The sequence below is a fragment of the Homo sapiens genome, chromosome 7, assembly GCF_000001405.40.
Source record: "Homo sapiens chromosome 7, GRCh38.p14 Primary Assembly".
In the NCBI taxonomy this organism is placed as follows: Eukaryota; Metazoa; Chordata; class Mammalia; order Primates; family Hominidae; genus Homo; species Homo sapiens.
This window is the reverse complement of record NC_000007.14, coordinates 20,341,254-20,368,608: the sequence shown is the minus strand read 5'-3', so window position 1 is coordinate 20,368,608 and position 27,355 is coordinate 20,341,254. Positions and strand designations below refer to the sequence as shown.

The 27,355-nt window shown below is 38.8% G+C and overlaps 1 protein-coding gene across 13 annotated transcripts in view; it reads right to left on the bottom strand.

Moving 5' to 3' along the window:
- Positions 1-27,355, bottom strand: part of ITGB8 (integrin subunit beta 8) — an 85,989-nt gene that overhangs the window by 47,146 nt on the left and 11,488 nt on the right. For 9 of the 13 annotated variants that reach the window (XM_011515393.3, XM_017012179.2, XM_047420341.1 and 6 more), the window contains 2 exons: positions 4,887-4,972; positions 1,423-1,597 (listed from right to left, as the gene is read on the bottom strand). In XM_011515393.3, coding sequence (XP_011513695.1) covers positions 1,423-1,597; positions 4,887-4,972 — 261 coding nt within the window. Of the gene's footprint in view, positions 1-1,422; positions 1,598-4,886; positions 4,973-12,586; positions 15,423-27,355 lie in introns of those variants that run through there. The other 4 variants (XM_047420345.1, XM_047420343.1, XM_017012180.2 and 1 more) reach the window with 2 other exon arrangements.

Here is a 27,355-nt window from a genome sequence, read left to right as displayed (position 1 = left end):
TTATATATAAGCTGCTGAAAATTGGCATTCAATTAGAAAAATAGGCATATTTGTATGGAGACACAAATTACACAAAAAAGAGAGATAAAGATGGTTAACAGCTTACGGAAAATGTTCAAACTTTCTAGTACTAAGATAAAGGCAAAAGAAAACACAGGCAAGAGAGAGGCATGTGTAATTATAGGAATATCTAAGGGCAGAGTTTAGTGGATGTATTCAACTGGAATTAGGTGTACGAGAACGTACAATTTTTGTTTCACCCTGTCTCTCTTTTTCTAAAAAAGAATTTATTTACGACACTAAATAATTTTTTGCAATGGAAGGTGGGAAGAGCTATAATCTTACCAATCTAATTACTTTCATTTTTGTATATTCCTTTCCAACTGTTGCTCACAATGTCCATACTGGGCTGTGTCATTATTTAATATGGGAAAGAGCACAGTTTTAATTGGAAACTGGGAATATGCCCAGGGCCAAGAAAGTAATGGATTTTGTTTTTCTGATAATCAGAGTCTGGAAGAAATAGCACAGTTCTGGAATGGGGAAGGGAGTGTGTCAAGAATGGTTATTTAAAAATTAATGACAGGACAGGACCACCCACAATGAAATGATGAAGGATTGGATACAATTGTGAACTGCGTTAAACTACATGCATCCAATTGAGTGGTGCGCATCTGTGTACCTTGATTTATCTTACTACATGTAGTTTTTACACCAGGATTCTGTAGCACTGAAGGAAAGTGAAAGCGAATAATGTCCAGTGGCCTACAACATAGGCCAAACTGTGAAATACACTGTGAAGGAAGGGGAAGTACAAAAGAGGTATAGGAGAAAAGGTGTATACTAATCTCAGGGGCCATCACAAAACTGCCCAAAGTAATTATGATAATCATGAATTGCAGCTTTGTGATTAAAAGTCTATTACAAAGTCTCTAAGAACTTTGTAATAAACTTTTAATCACAAGTTGGTTGTGATTAAATCACAAAAATATTGATTGCTTGATTGATTTAATTTTGGAAGATCCCTTCCAAAAAGGATCAATCAAGCTAACAAATACTTACAGAGTACTTACTACATGCTAGTGCTCTGCTAGGCATTGGAAAAAGAGAGTGGAATAAACATGTCCCCTTGCTCCTAGGGCTCGCAGTAGAGTAGAAAAACACAATTACATCACAACCTGATCAGATTATGTGAACAGAACACATAATTAGAATATAGTGTGGTCAGGTTTGCAGTGTCCGAAGACACACAGCTGGCTGCAGGCACTATAAAGACTAGAATTCTAATTTCTTGATTCTGAGTCCACTGTGGTTTCTACAAGAACAATACTGCCTGCCACATAATATTAAAAATGAGCAAATTAAAGTAAATTGCAATTTCAAGTTAAGAATCATTATAGATTTATTTGAAAATGACCAAACCTGGACGCAGCTGGATAGACACTTCTCCTGGTGTCACCTGGGTATTAATTTCATTTTCAGTGGGTATTATAACATGCACAGATGGGTATTCTATTGAATCAACTGAGCAGCCTTTGCTTATTAAATTGGAAACAATATCACAACGTTCACTTCTTGATCCACCTGAAATGAAATCCTGTTTAAAAGAAAGAAAATCACTGATGTTTTTAGTGTATATCAATTACATCCAAAGAAAATGACATAGCAAATATTGCATTTTTGGTATTTTATATCATTTTAATTTCTTCTAATCCTTATGTTTTTACTATTTCTACAAGAAAAACACAAGCAAAAATCCTACTCCAACTTTCTGCATCTAAAACCTATTTGAGAAGGAAAAGCTCAGACTGAAGTTTCTCTGGTTGGCTTTTTTTTTCTGTGTCGGAGACAGAGTCTCCCTCCTGATCCAGGCTGGAGTGCAGTGGCACGATCTCGGCTCACTGCCACCTCCATCTCCCAGGTTCTAAAAATTCTCTTGCCTCAGCCTCCCGAGTAGCTGGGACTACAGGCACACACCACCACGCCCAGCTAACTATTGTATCTTTTGTAGAGATGGGGTTTTACCATGTTGGCCAGGCTGGTCTCAAACTCCTGACCTTAGGTGATCTGCCTGCCTCGGCCTCCCAAAGTGCTAGAATTACAGGTGTGAGCCACTGCGCCTGACCTGGTTGGCTTTTTATTGGTTGTTATTTTCATCAATTTAATATAGTATTCTGGGGATATATATATATGAAAACTTTTTTTTTCCTACCCACGCCTGGGTCTTTTTGACTTCCAAACATAGCAATTTGCACAGAAGTGAGAGAATTCTATCATATTCCCTTTGACAGTGAAACTTTTCCTATCATATATGCTGTGAAAGTATAACTATGCTCCGAGCCTACGCTCTGAACTCTCACTACGCATGACACTCTGCATCAGACACAACAGGTAGGAGAGGAAGGGAATTCTTCAAGACATATCATGTCTTCCATAGATGTTAGAAAGGAACATGGGGCATTAAACTAGGTAATATTGATGATGCTGTTTCTATCCTAATTATTTTCCAATTACTTATGTAGTGTAGAAGGAAAGAGAAAGCAAAGTATATGGAATGGCAGATTAACATGCTACATAATAGTGCAAGCAAACTGGATACATCCTGTCTAAATTTTCTAGAGACGTTTTACTTTTGATTAGCCTTGAAAATTATTCAAGCCAGGTTTACGTTGTTACCATTTATCTAACCTAATCATGGGGAGAAAAAAAAAAAAAAAGCCTGCCTCTCCCTTGCCTCTCCTTCCAGCCTTGCTGGTTGAGGAATCATTGGCATCAGTCACATCCGCACCTAAAGGGTGAGGGATCTTCCAAAATTAAATAATACATTCTTCCTCTCAATGACGTCAGGTCAGCCTGCAGGGAGTGGACAGCTCCTGTTAATGGCATGGATAGTGGCTGAGTCCTAAAACTGGCTGCTTCCCCTGAGGTTATGTTATTAATGCAGGCAATCCTCCTAGTTTCCTAACCGTGAATGAGTTGTTCCAGAACCTTGTCAAAGTTCTATATATAGTCCTAAATCCCATTTCTTAAGCCATGCCTCTGTGCCCAGTGCTTCCCACATTGCTTCATTTCATCCTCACAAGACTGTGAGGCGGGTTCAATTTGTATTTCCATTTTAGAGGTATGGAAATCTGAGGTTCAAAGTGATTAGGTAATATGTGCAAGTTTATAACATTAGAAACTGGTGGAACTAGGATTTGAATCCAACTCAGTGTTTCTTCAGAGCCTGCTCTTTCAATACATAAACTAGGCTGCACTGCGCTATATAGAATATTTGGGAACATGAGCACCCAAGTGAGTTTCTGACCGTTTTCCCTAAGATCCCATCTGAAGAATGTTGCCAACAGTGACAGGTTTTCCTTCTCCCCTCCAGCAGCCACCTCCTTTCTCCTTGACTTAGCTCTTTCTATCAGACAACTGATTCCTCCGAATACTCAAAATCCCTCCTTCTATGGCAGGACTGACAGCTATTCCCAGAGCTGTGACTCTCCAGATTATTTTCTTCCAGTCAAAGGTGTGACAGGGAGAAGGGGTCCCTCTGAAGCCTGATGTTCTATGGCTAACATGTTACATGTGGCTGACAACTGGGCTTCTGTACTATCTTTTGAAGGCTCTTCCAAACTACCCTCACTAAAGCATTCAGCAGTTGACAGCAAGTTGGCACAAACTTCAGGGCTCTAAGGATTTTCCTTAGTGAAGCAGTAAAAATCTAAAATGAAGTACTGGTTTGGGGTCAGGAAATAACAAGCCATGAAACATTCTTGACAGAGAAAAACCTGGAAGCAGACACCAAATTTGAGGTTATAGAGACGAGGAAAGGGAGATGCTAGAATAAAGTGAATTCTTTTGGTCATTTGGCTCACAGGCAGTGATGGGATCGGACCCAGAAACTCTGAAGTTGTCCTCTCTATGACATGCCTGGCTTCACGGGTTCTGATGAACCACTTTCTAGTTCATGAATGACATCTGGTTTTCTCACTGGTGGAGCCCAGAGTCCATCTGGGAAGCCTTTAGGCTATCAGTAGGGAGACTTACTTTCAGACATGCCTACTGTTTCTTGAACCCCTCCCCTGCCTCTATTCTGACTTGCTTCCTAGAAGAAAGTGATATCCACCATCTGTTGCTACCTTATAACTTTCTTTTTTCTCCAAGAAGTAATAAAGGAGGTTGGAAGGATAACAGTAGGCACAGTTGTTAAGTCAGAGGAGACAAAAGCTAGAGACTTATCTCCATGTCAAGCAAAAAGCCATTAAAGACCTGTTTGTTTGTTCCAATTCCCAGGAGCTACATAAGTAAATGTAAAATTATTTAGGCAATCTCATACAAGAAGAAACCCCAGATTAGCAGATCGCTTCTTCAGTGCAATTTACTAGATACAGGCAGTTCTAACTCCAGATTACTGACAAAAGAAGAAAACACAAAACAACCCTAGAGCCAAGAAAGATGGAATGCATTGTAATTGTTTTACTAAGAATTTTGTTATTAGGATTCGTTTCTCTTGGTAGAACAGAAAAACACTTATTTTGAACAACAGGATACATAACCTAATGCCTCAAGCTGAAGCAAGAATTCCACACCAAAGCCTACTTAACTATCAAAAGTTACTAGCTGTGGTTGCCAATTCTCTCTATAGAACACATGGAAAACATAAAATGGTTTGCACTTCATTTCAAAATTACCATAATTTTCCTAATAAAAATGTTATGATTTATTTTATATTCAGCCAGATATGCTGTTTCCAAGCATAAAACCAAATAAAATTTTCCTTATGTTCAGCAGTATCTTTATTTTTCCTGATGCACCTTCAAGGCACAGAATATTAGGAAAATGAAGTCATGCTATAGCTCAAGTCAACCATGAGAAAAAGAAAAAAAAAAATGGCACACCTCTTGAACACACCATCCACATTCTGGACCCAGCGCAAGGCACCTGGCACAGGATGCTGCATTTGAAGATGCACATCTATTGTCTTCTGCAATGAAGGAGAAAACAGTTATAATTTACTCTCAAAATAGAAAGCGTATATAATTCTAGACTAAAATGAAACAAATGAACAATTGAAACAAATGAAAAACTGAAACAAGAGGACCTTTTATTACAAAAATCTGACAACAAAGATATATAATTTATTGGAAAGAGTCGACCGGCTCATTGTAATTAATAGATACCTGGATAATTATGATTTAGTTATGAATTTGGGAGAAAGAAGAGTGACAAAAATCTGATTTTGGTCAGGTTTGGGGGTCTGGCTTCAATTCTGCTGCAATAGTAGAGGACAAGGACCTTCCACATTTTTTAGAAAGTTTAGTAAGTTTCACTGTATTTCCTATTCTCTGAAACAAATAGGTGCTTTGCATTCTAGAGTTTTTCCTACAAAAATTATTGTTTATAGACATAAATCTCAACATATAAATTCACATTAAATCACAGTGAATGAATTTTCTGAGAAACAATCTTGATGGGCATATAAAGTAATTAACTTGGGAATTCTAATTGTGTTAATATTGATGATTTTGGCTTGAGGAATACCAGAACCAGACATACTGGCATGATTTAGTATTTTAGAATTAAAGTGGTTAAACTGAATGAGTTGTTTTAGTTAATTTAATTTCTTAGATTGGAGGACTTAAGATCTAAGATCATGACCAATTCACATTTCCATAGATTCCTGCACATGTCCATAATATTTTAATAACATAGTAGTGCCTAGAAATTATTTACCTTTATCCCTCCATCCACTAACTGCTGAAACAATTAAAATAAGGCTCATTAGTATAGGTTAAAACACAAACTATGATACAGAATGAGTCATACATCATTTTATCATGAGTTTTTAGTAGAACAATCTCAGACTTCCTACAGTCTATTCTTTAACATAAGATGTTCTAAGGACACTGGAAGTCACGGTGTGATCTGTCCATCTCACTCAAAGTAAACAAAAGGGACATCCCGGATATAGGTGGATCACAGACAAGAAGAGAAGAGACATATATAAGCAAACAGTATCACATAGTATAAGATGCACAGAGAGATTTCACCAAAGTGCTAGAAGAACAGGGAAAAGGTGCCTCTCACTCTGCTTTAGAGAGGGATGAGTAGGGGTGGAGGAAGAGGGCATATTTAAGGATTGCTCCCCAGAGGCAGTCACATTTAGTATCTCTCTTTGCCATCTCGTTTTCTTTCTTCTAATCCAAGTTCATCCCTTTAAAAAATGTATTACATATAAAAGAAAACTGTGTGCATGTGCACACTCATGCACATGTGTGTATGTGCCCAATCACACATGGACATGGACATGGTAATTTTAAAGGGAATAGAGACCACAGAATCTCTAGCTAGCCATATTCCAACCGTTTTCTCTTTTTTTCTTTCTCTCTCAACTTTCCCCAACATTCTGGAAATACAAGATAAAAGCAGTTCTGACCTGGAGGTGGAAGGGGATGAGAGGGGAAGGTAGTAGGAGAAGAGTAGAGAGGGAGGAACTGTGTTTACTCCTGTGTTTGCAGTTAGAAGTGCTAACTGGGGTAGTATGGAGCACCCTTCCCTGTATTTCCCCAGACACTCAATGGAGTAAGCAGGAAACATCTTTCCCTAATACCTTTAATGTTCTATTATCTCCTCTATGTATCTCCTTCTATGCCTTGTCCTTCACTTTATATCAACTTTGTGTATACATTGTCCAAAACTTCTTCACTTCACAAATCTTTCTAGACCTGGCCTGGAACTCAAAGAACTAAAGTGAACTCTAATATTTTGTGCTTCCTTTACCACCAGCTTGGCTACCCAGAGTATGAAAATTCCTTAGCCTAAAAATTTTCCATCTGTTGTAGGCTGCCAAACTGTAAAATCTGCTTACTACTAAAATGTTCAGAAAAGTGAGTGACCTTTTTAGTTTTGTTTCCAGAAAGAAAACCAATTTAGGTGTAGACATTAACCACATTTGCAAACTGCTGTGGTCTGAGTGTGTCCCCCCAAATTCATATGTTGAACCTTAGCCTCTAATGCAATAGTATTAAGAGCTGGGGCCTTTAGGAGGTGATTAGATCATGAGGGCCCCACCCTTCTGAATGGGATTAAGGCTCCAAAGCTTTTAGCTCTCTTTGTGCTTCTGCGCTTCCATCATGTAAGGACACAGCAAGAAGTCCCTCACAAGACACTGGATGTTGGCACCTTAATCCTGGACTCCCCAGCCTCCAGAGCTGTAAGAAGGAAATTTGTATTGTTTGTAAATTACCCAGTCACAGATATTTTGTTTTAGCAGTACAGATGAACTAAGACACAGACCTAATTTGACTTTCGCCAACTTGTAGCCTTGACTCAACTGAAACATGAAATTAAGTCTATTTCAGTTCAGACTTGACCAAGAGTTTCACTCAACAGGTAAGACTTTTGTGTTGGCAGTTAAGACTGCAATCTCAAAAAGTGGATAAAGAACACGGACAGACACTTCTCAAGAGAAGACATTCATGTGGCTAATAAACATATGAAAAAAAGCTCAACATCACCGATCATTAGAGAAATGCAAATCAAAACCACAAGGAGATACCATCTTATGGCAGTCAGAATGGCAATTATTAAAAAGTCAAGAAACAACAGATGCTGGCAAGGTTGTGAAAAAAAAAGGAACGTTTTTTCCAAGTGATTATATATAATAATATAATTGAAAAAACTCCAAAAAAAAAAAAAAAAAAAAGACTGCAGTTGCAAAAGTAGATCTACCATTTGATTCAGCAGTCCTACCATTGGGTATCTACTCAAAGGAAAAGAAGTCATCATATCAAAAAGACACCTGTGTTTACATGTTTATCACAGTACAATTCACAATGGCAAACATATGGAATCAATCTAAGTGCCCATCAGTGGAAGAGTGCACAAAGAAAATCTGGTATATATATATATACACACACCATGGAATACCACTCAGCCGTAAAAAAATAATGTCCTTTGCAGCAACTTGGATGGAATTGGAGGCCATTATCCTAGGCAAAGTAGCCCAGGAATGAAAAACCAAACAGTACGTGTTACTTACAAGTGAGAGCTAAGCTATAGGTACCCAAAGACATACAAAATGGTTTAATGGACATTGGAAACTCAGAAGAAGGGTTTGGGAGAGGGCTGAGGGATGAAAAATTACCTATTGTGTAATGTACACAATTTGGCTGATAGAAACAATAAGAGCCCAGACTTCATCACCATACAATTCATCCACGTAATCAAAAACCACTTGTACCCCAACGCTACTCAAGTAAAAAAAAAAAAATTAAAGGACTGTAGTCTCATGGAAGGGAAGCTGTGGAATCTAGGACTCCAGTCTTTGTTTCTAACAATTGTCTGACTCTGTTCTAAGTTAACCTAGTACCTAGTTTCAAGCTCAGATAAGGCTCCTACTTCCATAGTACACATGGCAAAAACAAATTCACAAGTGAAAATCTGTTTTCTTTGTATTCTGATTCTTTTCTTTAAAAAGTTCTAGTTCCCATCTCTAATCTCATATTTCAGACACCTAACGATGATGACCCAGAGAGAGAGAAATGTTGGTCCTGTCAATACTTCCCAGGTTCCAGGGCTTACATTTCTCAGGTTCTACATAGCTACAGGAAAAAAGATCCCATAAATGGATCTGGAGGAGGTGGCCACATGGTTCTGCAGGACTAGAGGAAGGTCATAAATTGAACTGCATGGGAAGAGTGTCAAACATTATTTCTGGAGAGTGTCATGGTTATACTTCACAGAAGACATGCCAGATACACTTTGGCATGCAGCATTTTAAGAATTTTCTTTCTAATTTAAAAATATGCAAGTAAGTAAAATACCAAATATACCAATATCAACAATTACAGGAATTCTTTTCACTGAATGTTCAAAGTATACTGAATGCTATTAGTCAGTGTGTGCTAGGAATTTCTTCTCTCTCTCCCACACACACACACACTCTCTCTCCTTCCCTCCCCTCCCACAACACACATACAAACACACCCTTCTGTGAAAGTAAAAATCTCTACACTGCATATACAACAAAGCATGACTGCTGTTTACAGACACGGACAGTCTGTCTTCAGCTTCTGGGTCTACCTAGTTCATTTGCCCTCCCATCCAACATTACAAGAAAACTACTTTCCAGCAATGGTTCCCTAGCAGCCCTCAGCACTGCACTGACACCTCATTAGAGGTTGTGCCTGAGTGGGTTTTCCCACTTTATGATTGCAGTTGCTGCTTGTTCAGCTATTTGCCTAGTGATGTTGCAATATGCACCTTATTCTTTATATTCGAACACTGCATTTTAATAAGGATTATTTTTTATTGATCCCAATGGAAATTCTTAAGCCAATGGAAGAAGTATTATAATGTGCTAAAGCACAGATCCTCAGATCCTCCTCTTGTGCTCATTTGTTTTAGTTCTCAGTGCCTCATAAAGCCCATGTTATTAAAAAAAAAATGTACTGCCTTAGTGCTATCCACGATAGCAAAGACATGGAATCAACCTAGGTGCCCTTCAATGGTGGGCTGGATAAAGAAAATGTGGTACATGTACAACATGGAACACAACACAGCCATAAGAAAGAGCAAAATCATGTCCTTTGCAGCACAGTGGATGTAGCTGGAGGTCATTATCCTAACCAAATTAACTCAGAAACAGAAAACCGAACAACACATGTTACCACTTATAAGTGAGAGCTAAACATTGGGTACATGTGGACATAAACATGGGAATAGTAGACACTGACAACTACTAGAGGGTGAAAGTAGGGAGGGGAGCAAGGGTTGAAAAACTGTCAGGTACTATGCTTAGTATCTGGGAGATCGGATCATTAGTACCCTAAACCTCAGCATCATGCAATATACCAGGTAACAAACCTGCACATGTACACTCTGTATCTAAAATAAAAGTTTAAAAAAAATACTGCTGGCTGGGCGCAGTGGCTCATGCCTGTAATCCCAGCACTTTGGGAGGCCGAGGTGGGTGGATCACCTGAGTTCAGGAGTTCGAGACCAGCCTGACCAATATGGTGAAACCCTGTCTCTACTAAAAATACAAAAACTACCCAGGTGTGGTGGCACATGCCTGTAGTCCCAGCTACTTTCTTTGCCTTGCTATAGCTGTGTGAAAATTTTCAGGAAAGAGCAGGAAGAAAATAGAAATAAAAAGGGTTAGAAAGTTGACATCCATTGTGACTCACAAAAAAAAAAAGAAAAAAATGATGCTAATATTTTTATCATCTGGAAATCTGAGAAAAATTGGTTTGGGGCCTAGTGCTTTAGAAGTATAACTGTACCAGCAGTTCTGGAGCCCCTGGGGCAGTTTTATGTCACATTGCTATCTCCCATCTAGAGAAAGTAACCAGGTAGGCCAGGAATGGTGGCTCACACCTGTAGTCTCAGCACTTTGAGAGGCTGAGGTGGGCGGATCATGAGATCAGGAGATCGAGCCATGTGGGTATCACAGTGAAACCCCGTCTCTACTAAAGATACAAAAAATTAGCTGGGTGTGGTGGCACACACCTGTAGTCCCAGCTACTCGGGAGGCTGAGGCAGGAGAATTGCTTGAACTCGGGAGGCGGAGGTTGCAGTGAGCCAAGATCATGCCATTGCACTCCAGCCTGAGCAACAGAGCGAGACTCCATCTCAAAACAAACAAACAAAACAAAACACAAAACAACAACGATAACAAAAAAAACCTGCCTTGACAGAAATCAGAAAAAGATTTAATTGCATATTGTCAATAAGTGTGTATATTCTAAGTAATTCTATTTCTGGATTTGTTAGCATGTGCTGTGTGTCTTATATTTTCTCATTGTCTTACAACTGTTGACAACAGGTGTGATGAGGTAGTATTGCTAAATAGTTACTGGGAGGAAACTTCCAATGTTCCATAGCACAGCTACTTACTAAGCTAGTTACCTAAACTCTCCAAGTCTCCATCTCCTCCGCAGTAACAAAGGGCTAACTATAACCATATCAAATTGCTGATGTGAGGATGAAGTAAGGTAAAGCATCCCAACAGAGTGCTCACGGCATAGTAGGCATTCGATAAAGAAACTGTTGTAATGTCATTATAATTAATATTATCTATGTTGGGTATATTATCTATATACACATACACACACATATATATAGACACATATATACGTGTATGTTCATGTGTATATTAATCTCTATGTTCAAAAAAACAAAGAAAGATGTTATGTGTCCTCAAACTTGTCGTAAATGTAACATGCTGTCTTTAAAATGAAAGTCCCTTGGGTGATAAAGTTTTAAAAATACAGCTAATATATAAAAATGGCTATTAAGTAAAAAGTACTGCATTTATTTAGTAAAAAAAAGATTCTTAAAAGCCCATAAAGTTGAATATATACACATCCATCCAATCTATTACAAATACAATTTTGGCATCACTACAAACTGGCTTACTGAAGATCTCTTAGAACACCTGCATTTTATTCAGATTTTGCAACATGAACATTGATTTAAGCTGAACAATTTTTAAATTATTTCCCAGAATTAAATGGTTATGACATATGTGAAATGACCCCTATAGCTATCTGTCATAAAGTATAATAAATATCCATCATCAACAGGATAGAGTACACAAAAGTCAGGAAAAAACATATTCATGACACCCACTTAGGTATTCTTTGTTTTTGATGATGCCATTCATTCATATTATTTTGAAAATATTTAGCTGATAGAAGTGACAGGGGAAAAAATGGACCAGCAAACTCCCCAAAACTAAAAAGGACAGTAGAAGTTTCAGTGTTTAGAATGGGATCTTTCCATAAATCAAGTGATTGGATCAAGTACAAGTTTTTAGAGACATTTCTAGTTTTTTTCTGTAGTAAAGTCAATAAAATTTCAACAACATTTAAAGGATGTTCATGGTTATCTGGCAAAAAGAACAATTACAACTGACAAAGACTGTAGTACTTGATATTTAGAATCAATCATTCTGGATTCTTCTGTTACTCCTAAACAAAATGATTTGTGAGAAATGCATTTTTTTCCAGGCAATATCCCTTTCCCAATTGCATTTACTATACAAATTAAATTAAATTTGAATAACCGTATAAAGCTACTTCCTTAAAAAATAAAACAAGTAAACACTGTTGTAATTAATACATGTTCTGCTTTGATAACAGTCAAAATCAGACGAATTGAGCATGCTTAAGAGTAAAGTTTAGAGTATAACTGGGTTTTCCTCCTTCTAGATATACATATCATAGTCATGTAAATATACCTTAAAATACATTACTTGATTACTGAATCTCTCTTTTGCAGAGAAATATATGCTATTATTTAATATAAAAATTAAAACAAATAAATACATTGGCATTCTAATCACTTGCCATGACCTAGTTATTCCAAGTTTTGATTTGAGGTTTCCTAAAGGCCCCTACAAAAATAAAGGGAAGGAGTAGGTGCTTAGGCCTACTTCTTTGAAAATAAGGTACAGGAAACAAAACAAAAGTCAGTTAAATGTTACGAGGGATTAAGTAAATGGGCGTGAGAGAAAAGGAGGAAACATAGAAAGCTCTCTGAAAAAGGTGGATCTGAGTAGGGAGGTTCTGAAGTAGTAGAGAAGATACATTACCGGGAAGTTAGTGTCTGAGATGATCCCTCAAAACAGGGGGAGCAAGGATCTATTTGTTGAAATAGACAAAGAAGCAGATGTCATTCAAATAATGATAACACATCTGTGGAAAAACTTTAGTTACTAAGTACCACCAATGCTTATTTAAACTGTGCTCATATAGAATTAATTGAACAATATTCATGAAATTCAAAATATTTGTAGTTGGCTCCTGAATTACGCTTTCAGGAAATACTACTCTCTTGCAGTGTCGCCCAGCCTAGGCTGGCACATTCCTCTCCTTTGCCTACAGCACAGTGTTTAATTTGTTTCAAACTTGTAGCAAACAAGCATTCAGACCATGGAAATGAAAATAAGTATCTTTATGGGGCAAACTATTTTCTCTAAATAATTTTGCCTCTACTTTCACTTAGAAAAACCTACAATAGTATTTATGTTTAGTGAAAACCAGTTTGGATTCCTCTCTATCTTGCCTTCTCTGTTTGCTGGTCCAGTGATTAGGTTTGATAGTCTGAACGTGTATTTGGAAGAGAAGGAGGTAGTACAATAATGTTCAATTCTTACATAGTAGCTCAGGAGGAAGCTGGGGGAATGAGGACATTACAAGAAAAAACAATTGTTTTAATTCCCCTGAGAAAGACCCTAGAGTAGAGATTGTTAGCAAGTGATTTACTGGGACAGGCAGTGAGGCATGGCAGCAAGCATATACGTTGGTGCAATGGGAGTGTGGCCTCAACCTGACCCCTCCCATAGCTTTGAGCCCAAACGACAACACAAAGTTGTCCCACCTGGGAGCCTGGGGCCTGTTTTCTACCCCATATCAGACAGTCACTGGCTGCAGGCAGCCTGGTACGGGGAGGAGTGGGGTTGGAGCGGGTTGATGTTCCAGGCATCTCTAAGCAATGTGGCTCCTTTTGGTGGAGGGCAATTCCTTTGAGAAAGTGACAACTGTGAGCCATAAACGGCCAGAATGCAGAGCAGCTGGGGATGGGTGCACCAGCCCTATAAAAAGAGCATGGGTGGGGCACTAGCAATGTCTATACAATAATCTCCCCCAGAGGGTGATAAATGATTAGAGTGTATTGTCACACAGATTGCTGTTTGCCTGCCTGTTCTTAACTAACGGAATCCTAAATTTGTTGAAGGTGGCATTGAGAGGAACTGAAATGCCACAATTCCCACCTTCTCTTGTAATGATGATGATTGCATAACTAACGATGATGATTTAAATGGAAGCAGAAGTTTCTGAATGGGGCTTCTGTGAAAGTTTTCAAAAAAGTTTTCTTGTTTTCCTTTTTATTCCCCTTATGCCCATCCTGCCTCTTTCTGCCTGGAACATGGCTGTAATGTCCAGACCTGCAGCAGCCATATTCAGACTTGAGGGAACTTGTCTCATAGAAGCCGAGGCTAAACACAACCGGAGAAAAGGAGCCCAGGCCTCTCAGAATACCAAGGAGTCCCTGTATCTGCTCGTTTACTCTCAGAACTGGGTCTGATGTGAAAGGAAAGCTTACTCGAATCTTACTTCGTCCTGTTTTCAAAGACCCTCTTACTTGCAGATAAACACAATTCCTAACTGATGAATTTTCATCTGAGTTTTGAAAGATAAATAAGAGACTCTAACAGAATAAATGTAAAGTTTTAAAAGAAATGTCCAGCATAAAATTACTTTATGTGAAGTAGATCATCCATACTAAAGAGATATATTTCTTCATGTTTGTTTGTTTGTTTTTCCTTGGAAAAGTAAGAATACTAGACTACCAGTTCCTGGGAGGAAAGGTGCTTAAATACATTTTCTTTATATACCCAGTATATGAGCCTTGTACATACACTCAATATACTAGAATACACTCAGTAAATGTGTAATTAATAAATAATATTCCAAGTAGAGGTTAATTTGACAATTTAATTCCTGAGTTTTTATAAGTCTTGACTACATATATTCTTAAGTAATCTTCATTTCCAAAACCTATTTATCACAAAAGGCAATGTAACTATGTTTACATAATGATACATAACTAGATGAATTCATCTCTATGTTTCCACAAACACAGATTACCGTTTTCTTTTTTTTTTTTTTTTTTTTTTTTTGAGACGGAGTCTCGCTCTGTCGCCCAGGCTGGAGTGCAGTGGCGCGATCTCGGCTCACTGCAAGCTTCGCCTCCCGGGTTCACGCCATTCTCCTGCCTCAGCCTCCCGTGTAGCTGGGACTACAGGCGCGCGCCACCACGCCTGGCTAATTTTTGTATTTTTAGTAGAGACGGGGTTTCACCGTGTTAGCCAGGATGGTCTCGATCTCCTGACCTCGTGATCCGCCCGCCTCGGCCTCCCAAAGTGCTGGGATTACAGGCGTGAGCCACCGCGCCCGGCCGATTACCGTTTTCTTACACTTGGTCTTCTGATATTGTGTAGTTCAGCTGAACTAGCTTATTTTTAAAGAAGTTAATGAAATGATATTAAGTTAAAATAGTCTTTTTTTAATGCCGCCATCCTCAGGTACAAGATCACCAAATTCACTTACTTTTCCTTATTACACAGATCTAAACCAAATTTAAATTCATTACATGTTCCTTGTCCCTTGAAAGGTGAGTATCCCCTGACTGAGCAGAATTTTCTTGTAATGCCAGTTAGGAAACAGCACTAAATATCTTTGGTTCTCAATAGGTAGGTTTTTAAGGCTTTTATTATATATAATCTTTATGTTTCAGGGACAAATTTCAACTTCTCCTGTTACATAGTGAGTAATTTATGTGATTACAACAGGCCTTTACGCTAGCATAAAGATTTTTGGAGAGCAAAAGAAAAACAAACAAGCATGTTCAACCTTGGGCAGGTTAAGAAATGTTAGGACAATGCAATGCATTCCATTAGTCTGCCCTGCCCTGTTTAGGGCAATCCCAGCATGAGTCAGAGCTTAAAGTGGGCTAGGATGGCATAAATCAAAACTCTAGGTCATGAGGGAATTTACAAGAAGAACCATTGTGAAGCCACTAATGACACCCATGGTGTTGAAATGGGCCATCACAAGAAGCCCAGTCAGATGGGATCATACTAGAACTTTTTATTATGATTCATTTATGCCCATCATAATCAACTTTGCATTGAAAAAGCTCTGATTGCTGCACACATGGGGTGACTATATAATTTATGAACTACACTGAGACACTTTTTAACCTGAAAGGGGCACTGTTAATTGTACCGGTGCAAGACGTGTAAACTGAAACTCCTCAGGAAAACTGAAGTCTAAGGTTACCCTAAACACAGAGTATTCTGGTGTTGTTGAATGAGAAATCAAAACAATAAACAAGGCAATTCATGATGAGTTTACAGGAAATGTGAAAGGAGAAAGAGAACACCATGAGTTAAAGATACACTCTCTCAACATAAAGGTAGACTTGAGGCTGGTTTTGAAGGATAGGCGAAATGCAGAAATCCAGTTAATAGCTGTTTGATTATCTTCAGATTATATCTTATATACATCTTTACATGTATATTTGATGTGGAAAGAAGATGACCAAACATAAGGAATATTTTTCATTTGTGTTTGAAACTGATTTTTCAGTCCATATTATTTCCTAGGCAAAGCAGTTTCTCTTGGCAGCCAAATGGTCACTCAACATACAAGAAGAGTAGTTCTTGAAGAGGAATAAATTCAGTTTTGCAGTTGCTTATTTAGCTGAATACTTCAATTTGTCTTCTGACACTCACCTGCTGGGAATTTTCAAGAACGGCAGAAACAGGAAGAAAGATGGGGGTCAAAACCATATCATCTATCTGTACAGCTTTTCCTACATTAGACTTAGAACTTGAAAAAGGGATCAAAGTATCCAGATTCAAGGAGGGCCCCCAAGGCCCCTCAGTGGCAAATTCTGGTTAAAGCTGCATTTGTCTAACTTGGAAAAGCAGTATTAGTCATGTGCTTTGTTTCTTGTTTTCACTGGAAATTTTCCATACATTCCAACTGTCCTGTTTATGAGGCACACTCCCTTTCTATAAAAGCCAAAATATTCACTGGTTTCCCAGTCTGTTCCTCTAAATAATGTTTTCAATCTAACACACTAGAGTTCCAGGGGCTCTTCCTATTTTCATTTCCAACTCTTGGCAGGTATAGGTTTCCTTTCTCCAACTTAAAAAAAAAAGCACTGTTATTCATGTCCAAACTTCAAATGCCATGGTTAAGGAGGTTAAAAAAAATGCCCTAGGATAGTAAGAATGCATTTTCTACATTGTATCTTTTAAACTTAAAGTCACGTTGCAGGTGTGAACTTGATTACAGTAGCAAAGCAACACTCTATATTGTAAGAGATTTAGTGCTAAGTAAAAAACAAACACCGGTAAATTAAAACCCAATATGAATTTTAGGTCACTTAGGATTTGGTTTTCCTTTAATCACATTTCAAAATTCAAAAATATATTTAATATCTTTTGACTCTGCACTTGAAAATTAAATCTATACATACAGGACAATAAAATTAGAGAAAATTTAAAAAATCAAGTATCTATTACATGATCACACTGTGTTGGCCCTATGCCAAGCACTTTATATAAATGATCTACCTGAAGCTTCATAAAGCTCCCATGAGGAAAGTTCTGCTATGCCCATTTTACAGATGGAAAACTACAGCTTAGGGAGGCTAAGTCTCACCTAAAGTCACAGAGGTGGTAAATACAGAGACCAAGTTTGAACCCAGTTCTGATGACAGAACCTTTTCTTGTAAACACTGTCTTAGGTGGAATAGAGAATAACATAAAAAAGAAAATTATTCCAAAGTATGACTGAAAACTCCTGGCTAATTAGTACTATTATTAGTTCTTAAATGATGACTCAGCAATAATCCCTAGTACCTCCAGAAAATTCTTTAATACAAGTAGTATGTCATTACTTTTCTTATCATCAGTGCTAAGGTAATCCTATTTTCCCACTCTAAAGATAAGAATGTTAGATTCTCCCTAGTAAGATTATTTTCCATCCTTGGAGTCAGAGACTCTCCTAAATACTTTGGTACCCTTTTCAGAATTCATTTCCTTTCTATGCACAGGGAAACTGAGTTTTCGCGTGAAAGCCCCAGCCTGAAAACCTCACTGAGTGCATAAAGCAGACTGGCTGGCACTTGTTCAGCAGAGGGGAGAGCTGTCCTTTTACAACCATGTTTCTCCAGGCTTTTGCCAGGGGACAGCTCTGAGCTGCATGCTAATTAGGCAGTAGCATAGGAAGTGGTGTTCGGAGTTGCTGTTTCCATTTGTGAATTTCTAGCTCTGTCTTGAAAGCCAAATCTGGAACAGGGGAGAAGGCAACTTGTTCTTGTCCTAACCCTGCCTATTCGCTGGCCTCGGCTTCATAAACTAACTGCTGAGGCTTTGCTTCCTCGTTGATGATGTAGGAAAAATGTTCCCCTCATTGTGTGCTGTGTTCCTCCACTGAGCTGTGAAAACAGTTTGAAAAGTAGAGTGCAACTTACAATGACATGATTGGTGGAGAACATTTGCTTTATAGCATGTACAGTTCTGTGAGTTTATGGGACTGTTTTAAGATACAGTTTATAATAGGAAAGATTTATTTTAAAAGGCCACCAAAGGCTGGGCACAGTGGCTCATGCCTGTAATCCCAGCACTTTGGGAGGCAGAGGCGGGCAGATCACCTGAGGTCAGGAGTTCAAGACCAGCCTGACCAACATGGCAAAACCCCGTCTCTACTAAAAATACAAAAATTAGCCGGACATGGTGGCGGGCACCTGTAATCTCAGCTACTCAGGAGGCTGAGGCAGGAGAATCGCTTCAACCTGAGAGGTGGAGGTTGCAGTGAGCCGAGATCATGCCATTGCACTCCAGCCTGGGCGACAAGAGTGAAACTCCGTCTCAAAACAACAACAACAACAACAACTTCAATACAGGGAATTGTTTTTGTTTTTGTTTTTTAAAAAAGGGGCACCAAAATCCCTATACATTCAATAAAACAGTTACCAATAATGCAGACTGATTATTCCCTGTTTTGTGTTTTGGCACTGTCAGCAAAGAGGCATGAGCAAATCTTTGGTGGGTGGAAGGGTTCTGTACGTTGACTGTAGTGGTACGTAGCTTCAGAGGTCTATACATCTGGCAAAACTCATCCACTGACATTTTAAATAAATACAGTTTATTGATGTACATTATATCGATAAAGTTTATTTCCAGTTAGCACTGTAAATTAACTGAGATGGAATATTTGTTAGAAAAAGACAACCAGTGCACAATGAAGGAATATATTTCTTTCCCGCCAGTGTATAGCAAAACATTAAACTATGATTTTTAGAAGAAAATCCAGTGACATCTTATGTTTTTATTTTGTTGTTGTTGTTGTTGTTTAATACAGATTAGATAGTGGTTAAAGTTGTTTATCCCTATACGGCATATACGGCATTTGATTTACATATCCTTTTATATTCAGATTAATTTATTTTAATACTTTTTTGTATGGATTGAACTTGTTTGTGAGATAATAAAAAATCTTTTCAAATTCAAAACTTATTTATTATATTCTGCTTGCAATTTCTTGCCAACTCTCGGCAGCCTAAGAAATTGAATGGAGTAGGTAATGATACCAATGTAAGTTTAAGTATCTTAGTAATTAGTACTATTAGGTTGGTGCTAAAGTAATTGCGGTTTTGGCCATTGAAAGTAATGTCAAAAACCGCAATTACTTCAGCACCAACCTAATATTATGATCAATAGTAATACTAATATAGCTTGAACTATACATCAATATTATACTTTATATCCTGTTCTCTAAAGTAAATCCTCTTCTATCCTCAATGCCAAATATGACACTAAATATTTGTCTTTTCTAAAATTCACTTTATTTGGAGACTCAGACAAAAAGGAACTCTGAATTATTATAAAATGTGTTAACTGTATCTTATAGGATAGATAATCTTCCGTAATACTTTAATATCTTATAATTTTCAATTAACATTCGTTCAGTTTAATATCATCGGTAGAAATTTGAAAAAATATATCACAGTAGAAGTGGTAAATTCAGAAAATTTTATATTGGTACTGTGTTATGAACTATAGTCCATATTGCCCTATAAAATTCTTATTCCATCTTCTCCATATTTCCCCAAATGGTCCAGCTACTGTTTCTCCTTCATCAAAAGTTAGTTTTATGCAGAGTTCATCATTCCTTGGGGAAATGTTCCAACAGTGCTTTGCAAACATATTCTCCTTGTTCCCACTGGCTACTTATGAGATTCTCCCCAGCTTCCATCTTGCAACACTTATCAATCTCTATTCTTTCAAAGGTCACAGCTCTTATTTATATGCTCCCCCATCTTTGTTATCAGCACCAGAAACGGCTAAATTTGCAATGTATTCATCACCTTGCTCAAGGTTATTCTGCCTTACCCAAGTCACCCCCAACACCTCACTACCTCCACCATGGACAGAGCCATTAGGAATCTCTGGGGCCAGGAGCTGCAGCAGGAAATTCTCATGAGCTATAGAGGAGTCACTGGATAACGGAACAATAAAACAGTTCTTAGATATGAAAAACCAAAGAGAAGCAGAATAAATAACAAATTCAAGAGGAGCCAGAGGCTGAGACAGAAGGCAGGCTACTGATTCAAGAACTCTAAAACATGGAGTTGAAAGTAAACAGGAGGTCAGGCACAAATGGGGTGATGCATCCTAAGCAACATCTGATTATCTGAGGCTGCCTTATGGGGCACTGCCAGAAACCTATTAAGAATTGGGTTCCCTCCAAATTTCTTTCTCACCTCATCTAGTTCCTAGACCCTGCTTTCATTAATTTCTTGTTGACTTTCCATCATATGTTTTCACTTTCACTGTTTTAATTCTTTCTTATCAAATCCATAAGAACTCATACCAAGTCCTCTCACTTAAGATATGACCCTAACTTTACCATTATATTATAGAGAAGATCTAAATAATATTCCTTCTTTTCAAGTCAAAATTGTCTTTGTTCTCTTATTAGAAAAATGCCTCTCCTCATTATCAAGATAATTTCCTCTAGCTTTCTAGTTAATTGCTCACTCAAAGGCAAATAATATTTCTTAATTACATTTAGCAACTAGCACTTAGCAATGTTTAAATGTCCTGTCTTTCAACACTGAGTGGGCACTCTATCACTTCTCTCATTCTCAAGCAACTCCCCTTGTTATGTCTTTGGCTATTTTCACATTGCTCTCTCAACTCTACAGCTTGATGACTATGAACTAACAAGATTCCAAGCCTCACTTCCTTGAACATGACCACCAAATTGGTACCTTCAGTTCCAAACTCTCACCCAAGCTTCTGTCTTGAACTTTCAACAATCTGCTTGGCAACCCACTCAGATTCCTGCCACAACTTCAAAATCTTCGAGTCTCAAACATTATGTTCCTCTTCCTGACTTGAATGATGTATTCCATTAATTACATTATTTTCCCATCTATTCTGATTTAAATCTTTGTGGTCAACCTTGACTCCTCTCTCTACCACAGCCTCAACAACCTGTCAGTCACCAAGACTTTTTGCTTTTAATTTACTGTCTTTAGTATTTCTCACTCCCTATTTCCATTCCCATGGATCCATCCTAGTTGAGGCCTTCCTTATCGATCATTTGCTTTAATGTAACAACGTTCTCAGAATCTCTTACAAACACCATTTACCACTAAAAATCACCACATACATTGTTGCCAGTTTCTTTTGCTGATACAGTGATCACATTACTACCCTACTAAACAATCAAGTCAAAACAAAACAAAACGCCTGGAATTATTTCCACCACCTGAGTAGTAAAGTATCTCAGTCCATTCAGGCTGCCATAACAAAATACCTTAGATTGGGTAATTTACAAATAACAGAATTTATTTCTCGCAGTTTTGGAATCCGGCAAGTCCAAGACAAAGGCAGCAACAGATGTGGTGGTATGGCGAGGGAGCCTTCCTCATAGGTGGCACCTTCTTGCTGTGTCTTCATATGGCAGAAGGGACAGACGAGTTCCCACAGGCCTTTTTCATAAGTGCACTAATACAATTCACCAGGGTCCTATCTTCATGACCTAGTCATTTTCCAAAGGCCCCACCTTTAATGCCATTACATTGATGATTAGATTTCAACACATGAATTTTGGAGAAGCAAAAACATTTAGACCATAGCATAAAGTTCTAACAAATCTACCTGCCATTAACTCCAAGGTGCTCTCCTTTGCTTTTCTCCTAAAGTCCTATGTCATGGTCAATGTACATGCCTCCTCTCTGCCTGTGGAGCCCCCTTCAGGTATAATCGTCAGGTGTTATATACTTCTCAGGCAATCACTTTAATCATCTGGAGTCAAGAGTGTCTTAAGACACCCAGAGAAAGTCCACGTTGCTTTTGGCAGGAAACGGGGTAGAGTCAACGCCTCACTTCAGAACTAAGTCAGGCTTCCTCAGACCTTGTCTCTTCCTTCCCTAAGAATTAAGAGCAAGTCTCAGAACCTCCCCTTGCCCCTCAGCCACTGACAGTATCATCACCACTATCTACCTTGAGATCCCAAAGACTAATCTCACTTATCCCTGTTTATTGCACCAGTTTCTACAAGAAGCCCAAGACTCCCAGATGCACCCTTATTCCCCCAACACATTCTAATCCCTAGAAGGCTCTGCACAGCCCTCTTTTCTCCTTATCTCCTATTCCTTTACAACTCCAGAAACCCATCCCCTGTGCCCTCTGAAATTCATAGTCCATTTCCAGAAGGACTGCCCATATCCCAGTCCCTTATCTGAATGTTCTCTTGTCTTGCTTGAACAGAAACCTGGCTCTCCCCTGAGAACTTGTCTTCCCCTGACCTCATGAGTAATCGCTGATGTTTCTCCCAGAATCCTAACAGCCTTGAGCTTGGAGATGTATAAGTGTCTTCCTGAGTCCTCACTGCTACTCACAGGCACTTCTCCCTCTCTCATCCCCTAATCATCCCACCCCCAGCTTTGACACTTGTAACTTACATTATGTCACCCACCATCCTGAATTGTTGCAGGCATTCACTGACATTTACCAACCACAGGGAGATGCTTTCTCGTTTTTAGAAAATGTTGCCTCCTTGCTTGATATAATTTTCTCCAACAATACTCCTATGTCAATTCCTGACAATTTTTGTATATACACACATCATCTTTGCAATACAAGATGCATCAGCTCCTTATTCTCTTCTCCTCTAATTATTTTGTCCTCCACCTTGATTTAGCTACTTTGCTTCCATGTTAAGAAATTTAGACCTTGTAATTACCAGTAACTGCAACTTCTCTACAATTCCAGTTTCACATATCACCCTGTCTGACCACCACCTCTTGTCTTACAAGCTGATTCACTCTGCCTGGGCTCCAGATACCAACAATCTGCCACTACCAGTCCTTCGATCCTGCTATGCATTAAAAATTTCTCACATTGCTTCATAGCCTCTCATCTCTCTACCCTTTCTCCAGTTATCCACAAGGCTAACTCTCTTACTGTCTTGAGGGCTTGGCTCAAACACTGGTCTTTTTTCATGAGGCTTACCCCATCTAATCTACTTGAAATGGCAACTCTGTCTTCCCCCAACCCTGCTCCACTTTTCCCCATAGCACTTACCACCTTTGAACACACTAGATAATTATGTATAACCATGTTTTTTTTTATTTTGTCTGTCCTCCTCCAAAATATAAGACTTATGAGGACAAGAACTTTTGTCCTTTAGTTTCCTAATGTTTTCATACTTTGAATGGTACTTTCCACACACTTGTTGAAAAATATTTATTAAATAATTAGCACATCTTAGATTTTAAAATTATAGAATTTATTGGATTACAATGTCAATATCCTCCTAGAAAGTTATATATCATTGAGGCAGATGATATATTGTTCATATTTCCCTCCCTGAGGCCCTGGGAATTGGCTCAGCACCTTCTCAGTGAGACCTTCCTAATTATCCTACTTAAGATCATACCTCCTTCTCCAGTATTCTTGACTACCCATCTGGGTTTCTTTCTCTCTACAGAAGGTGCTAGATACTTAGTGCTGTCTGGTGTGCTATACATTCTGTTTCTTTAATTTGTCAAATGTCTTGTCTCTCTCCATTAGAACGAAAGCTCCATGAGAGCAGATCTTTTTGTTTGGTTCCCTGCCATATCCCCGAGGCTTACAGCAATACCAGGCACAGTGTAAGAGTTCAGTATGTATTCACTGAAGGAGAGGATGAATGGGTGTCTCCCCTGCATTGCCCAAAACATCGTATGTGCTCTCTCTCTTTCTGTTTACTTCTGTGACATTCAGGTAACTTTCTCCCAATGCTGTCCCTTCTCTTGGTCAACTCTCGAACTCAGCTCAGGGTGCGTCTCCCTGGGGAAGCTTTGTCCTGCTACTGCACTTGCTCCTCTGGCCATTCTGCACTGCTCCCTGCACACACACAAAGCACTATTGTTTCCTACAGGTTGTCCCTGAATTTCACCATTGTGATGTCCTCACTCTACTCATTTAGTAAATTAATACTGACACTTCTGTTCTTCCAGTCTTTACGCACACATTTAAAAGTTTCTTCTAATAGCTAAGAACAATGCAACTAATTATATGTACTATTGGAGACACAGCCTGGATTTTGCTTTATGCTGATGCATTTTAAGACCATCTCGCAAAATACACTATGCCTAGAAAAGGTGGACCATATGTATTGAAAATCTAAATAGCTGGAACCTTCAGTTAATCAGGGCTCTAAATTTTAATTCCCTCCTAAAAAAATGAGAAAAATTAAAACTAAGTATCAATCTTTAGAAAAGACGGCAATGTTCTGTCTTGCATCAGAACACATTTGACATATTTCCTGTCTGAATCAGAAGCCTAAAGCTCTACAGCACTAATGGCCCAAACCACCCATCTCTGCCCCACAGCACTATCTCGTATTGTATGCCCACACAGTTCCTCAGGCTCAGCCACCCCATCTCCTTGATACCTTACTTCCTCTCTGTCCCCATAGCAACTAGTCCAATGTGAAATGCACTGAGCAGGTGCTCAAGCAATGAATTCATTTATTGATTAAATAGTAATGGTGAAAATTTGCAAATGTGATCAAAGGATAACTGCAAGGCCTTTTTCAAATACCAAAGAAAGTTTAAATGATGTACTCACCAAGCAAGGAAAGTGTACACACACATATTAAAAAGATGTTCAAAAGCAAGAGTCAGAATATAAATGGCCATAGAATTTAATTAATTAAAACATCACTTTTCATAGGCACTCTAGGTGACCAGGATTCTCCTATAACTATTTTTTACCTGCTCATAGGTAGCTCTGTTAGTATTATCAAAAGCTACTTGATTAGAGGAAGAGAATGGGTGAATATTTAGTCAAAAGAGACAGGACATTATCATCTGGGAGTGGAGAGCAGAAAACTCCGCTTCTTAAGGAATTTTGAGATTGTAATAATTTTGATGGCTTCTCCATCCTGAATTTTTTTTTGTAATTACTTAATACTTGCAATTAAGCCATGGCATTGTGCAGGGTTTTAGGGATAGGGCACCTGCTTGTATTCCTGTTGTAGAATAACAGCAAAACCTGACATAAGACAGAACTTAACAAGAGTGCTATGAAATGGAACAGGCAGGGTACAGCAGGCAGCAGATAACAGGACGATGTCACCTCAAGGGGGAGTGGGAGGGCCAGAGAAAACTTCCTTAAGGAATTTCCTGGGCCATTTTATTACATGATTGCATCTTTATTCTGTCTGGTTCCCAAATATACATTATCTGTTAAAAACCACACAGTATTGTTAGGTTACTACTGAGAGTCAGCCCAGGCAGCCGGATCAATAAAAACTGGCCAAACGGCAGCAAAGCTGTTCAGAGACATGAAATTGTCTGCCAATATCCAACATCCCATTTCTAAACTTTGAAATCTGAGCCCCTCTGTTTCCTACTTAGCTTTTCCTGGGACCTCAGATCTCTTTTGTCTTCTAACATTTAACCCCTTTCAGGTTCAACTCTGCCGTGTCTACTGAAGATCTGCAAGCTGCCTTTCAAAATATACAACCAATTTATATTTGAATGGGAAAAACAGGAATTACACCCTCACCATGACTGAGGCAATAGGATGTCTCTTCACCTTGTCAGACCCACACTGCATATCCATTGATTATGCAGAGACAGCTAAGTTAATCTGTTTCTTCTGGCCTGGAAGGCTCTGCCGTACTTGCGAACAAATGACAACCAAACTCCAAACTTTGTGTTTCTAGGTTTCTGTGCTCTCAAATGCAGTGTGAATATCTGTGACCATTGATTCCTTTGGTCTTGAACAACCTAAAGTGCCCAGATTCCCACCACCTTTCACTTTTGCACACCAATAATTCCAAAAAAAAAAAAATGAATGAAAAATCTTTTGCCAAATGTGCCATGGGTATAGAAGTTACTGGCAAAACCCTCTCAGATTCTGTAATTTCCAGCCAGTCTCCCAGTGTTTATGTGGCACCTCTTGAGATCTTTTGGATGGAAGAGTTTACTGTATATCTAGGCAACATCCAACAACCTGGTCTTGTGTAACCAACTCATTTAGACCATCCTGGGCCACTTACTGTACAGCATCCTTAGAGGCCTAGAAAGGTGAGTTTGCACTTTTAAGGATAATGTTTTTGGGAATCCAAATTCCTCCTTAGGAAATTCATGTGTAAAAGTGCCACTTAGGCTGGAGAGGTAAGCTCCAAAACGTTGAGGTAATTCTATATTTCTTGGGACTTTCAGGGTATTTAGTTCCTAGATTGTCAATACAGAGCCCTAACAAAGATCCTCAAGTGGACTGACCAGTTAGTGGGTCCTCTGTCACTAGGGCAGCTTTATATTATACAACTTGGAGGCCAATTCTTACGTCCTCTGGAGCTTGATGTTCTTTCATATCATGCTAGAAGCATCTAGTTTGTTCAAAGGGCCAAGAATACTCTGGTTCTGCATGTGGGCTTTTTTTCATTAAGATTAATCCCAAAGGAATTGATAATTACGCAGTATAGGAGAAAATATCACATACCACCTGGGCAGTATCTGAGAAGTTTGCCCTGTGAGAAGGAGGAGTGTAACATCCAATGATCGTTCTGGCTGACCCAACTTTTCTACCCCACCAGTAGAAAGCAGTCAGAAGTAACACATCTTTTTTTTTTTTTTTAACTCAAACATATACCTAAGAGGCAGAATTTGTCCAAAAAGCCCTGATGTCTGACTTTTCATAATGCCCAAAAGTCAATCTCTGCCCAGACAAGTCTATAACCAGATAATCCAACCTCAGGCAAGTGAGTTCTGGCATCAGTGCTATGCTGACCCCCAAGTAGCCAACTGTCAGCCCCGGACAGCCCTAAAAGGGTGGGTGGGCCCAATCTCCAGCTGGCTATGCTGTCTTCAGTGGGCCACAGGCACGTGCTCAAGAGCCCCCTTCCCTTCTCCCATGTGACCACAGTCCCATCAGATGTTACAAAGTATCATGTGGCCTTGGATACCTTCTTTACAAGGCATCAAACATGCTATATCTTCTAAACTAAAGACTGGTAGTAATGCCATTTAGTTCTCATATTTTCAGTATCAACCTGACGTCAGGCTCTCTGATTATATACGTTGGCCCTCACTTTAGGGCCCTTGTTCTAGCTGGTAGTGACTGACACACTCATCAAAAGGGACCTTTTTAACCAAAACTGAGGATGTCTGAAACTGTAACTCCCTTCTTGAATGTTTCTTTTTTTTCTCAGTGTTGCCACTGTCTAGATGAATTTTCTTGGAAATTGTGCCCCATCTGTCATTTCTAGAGCAT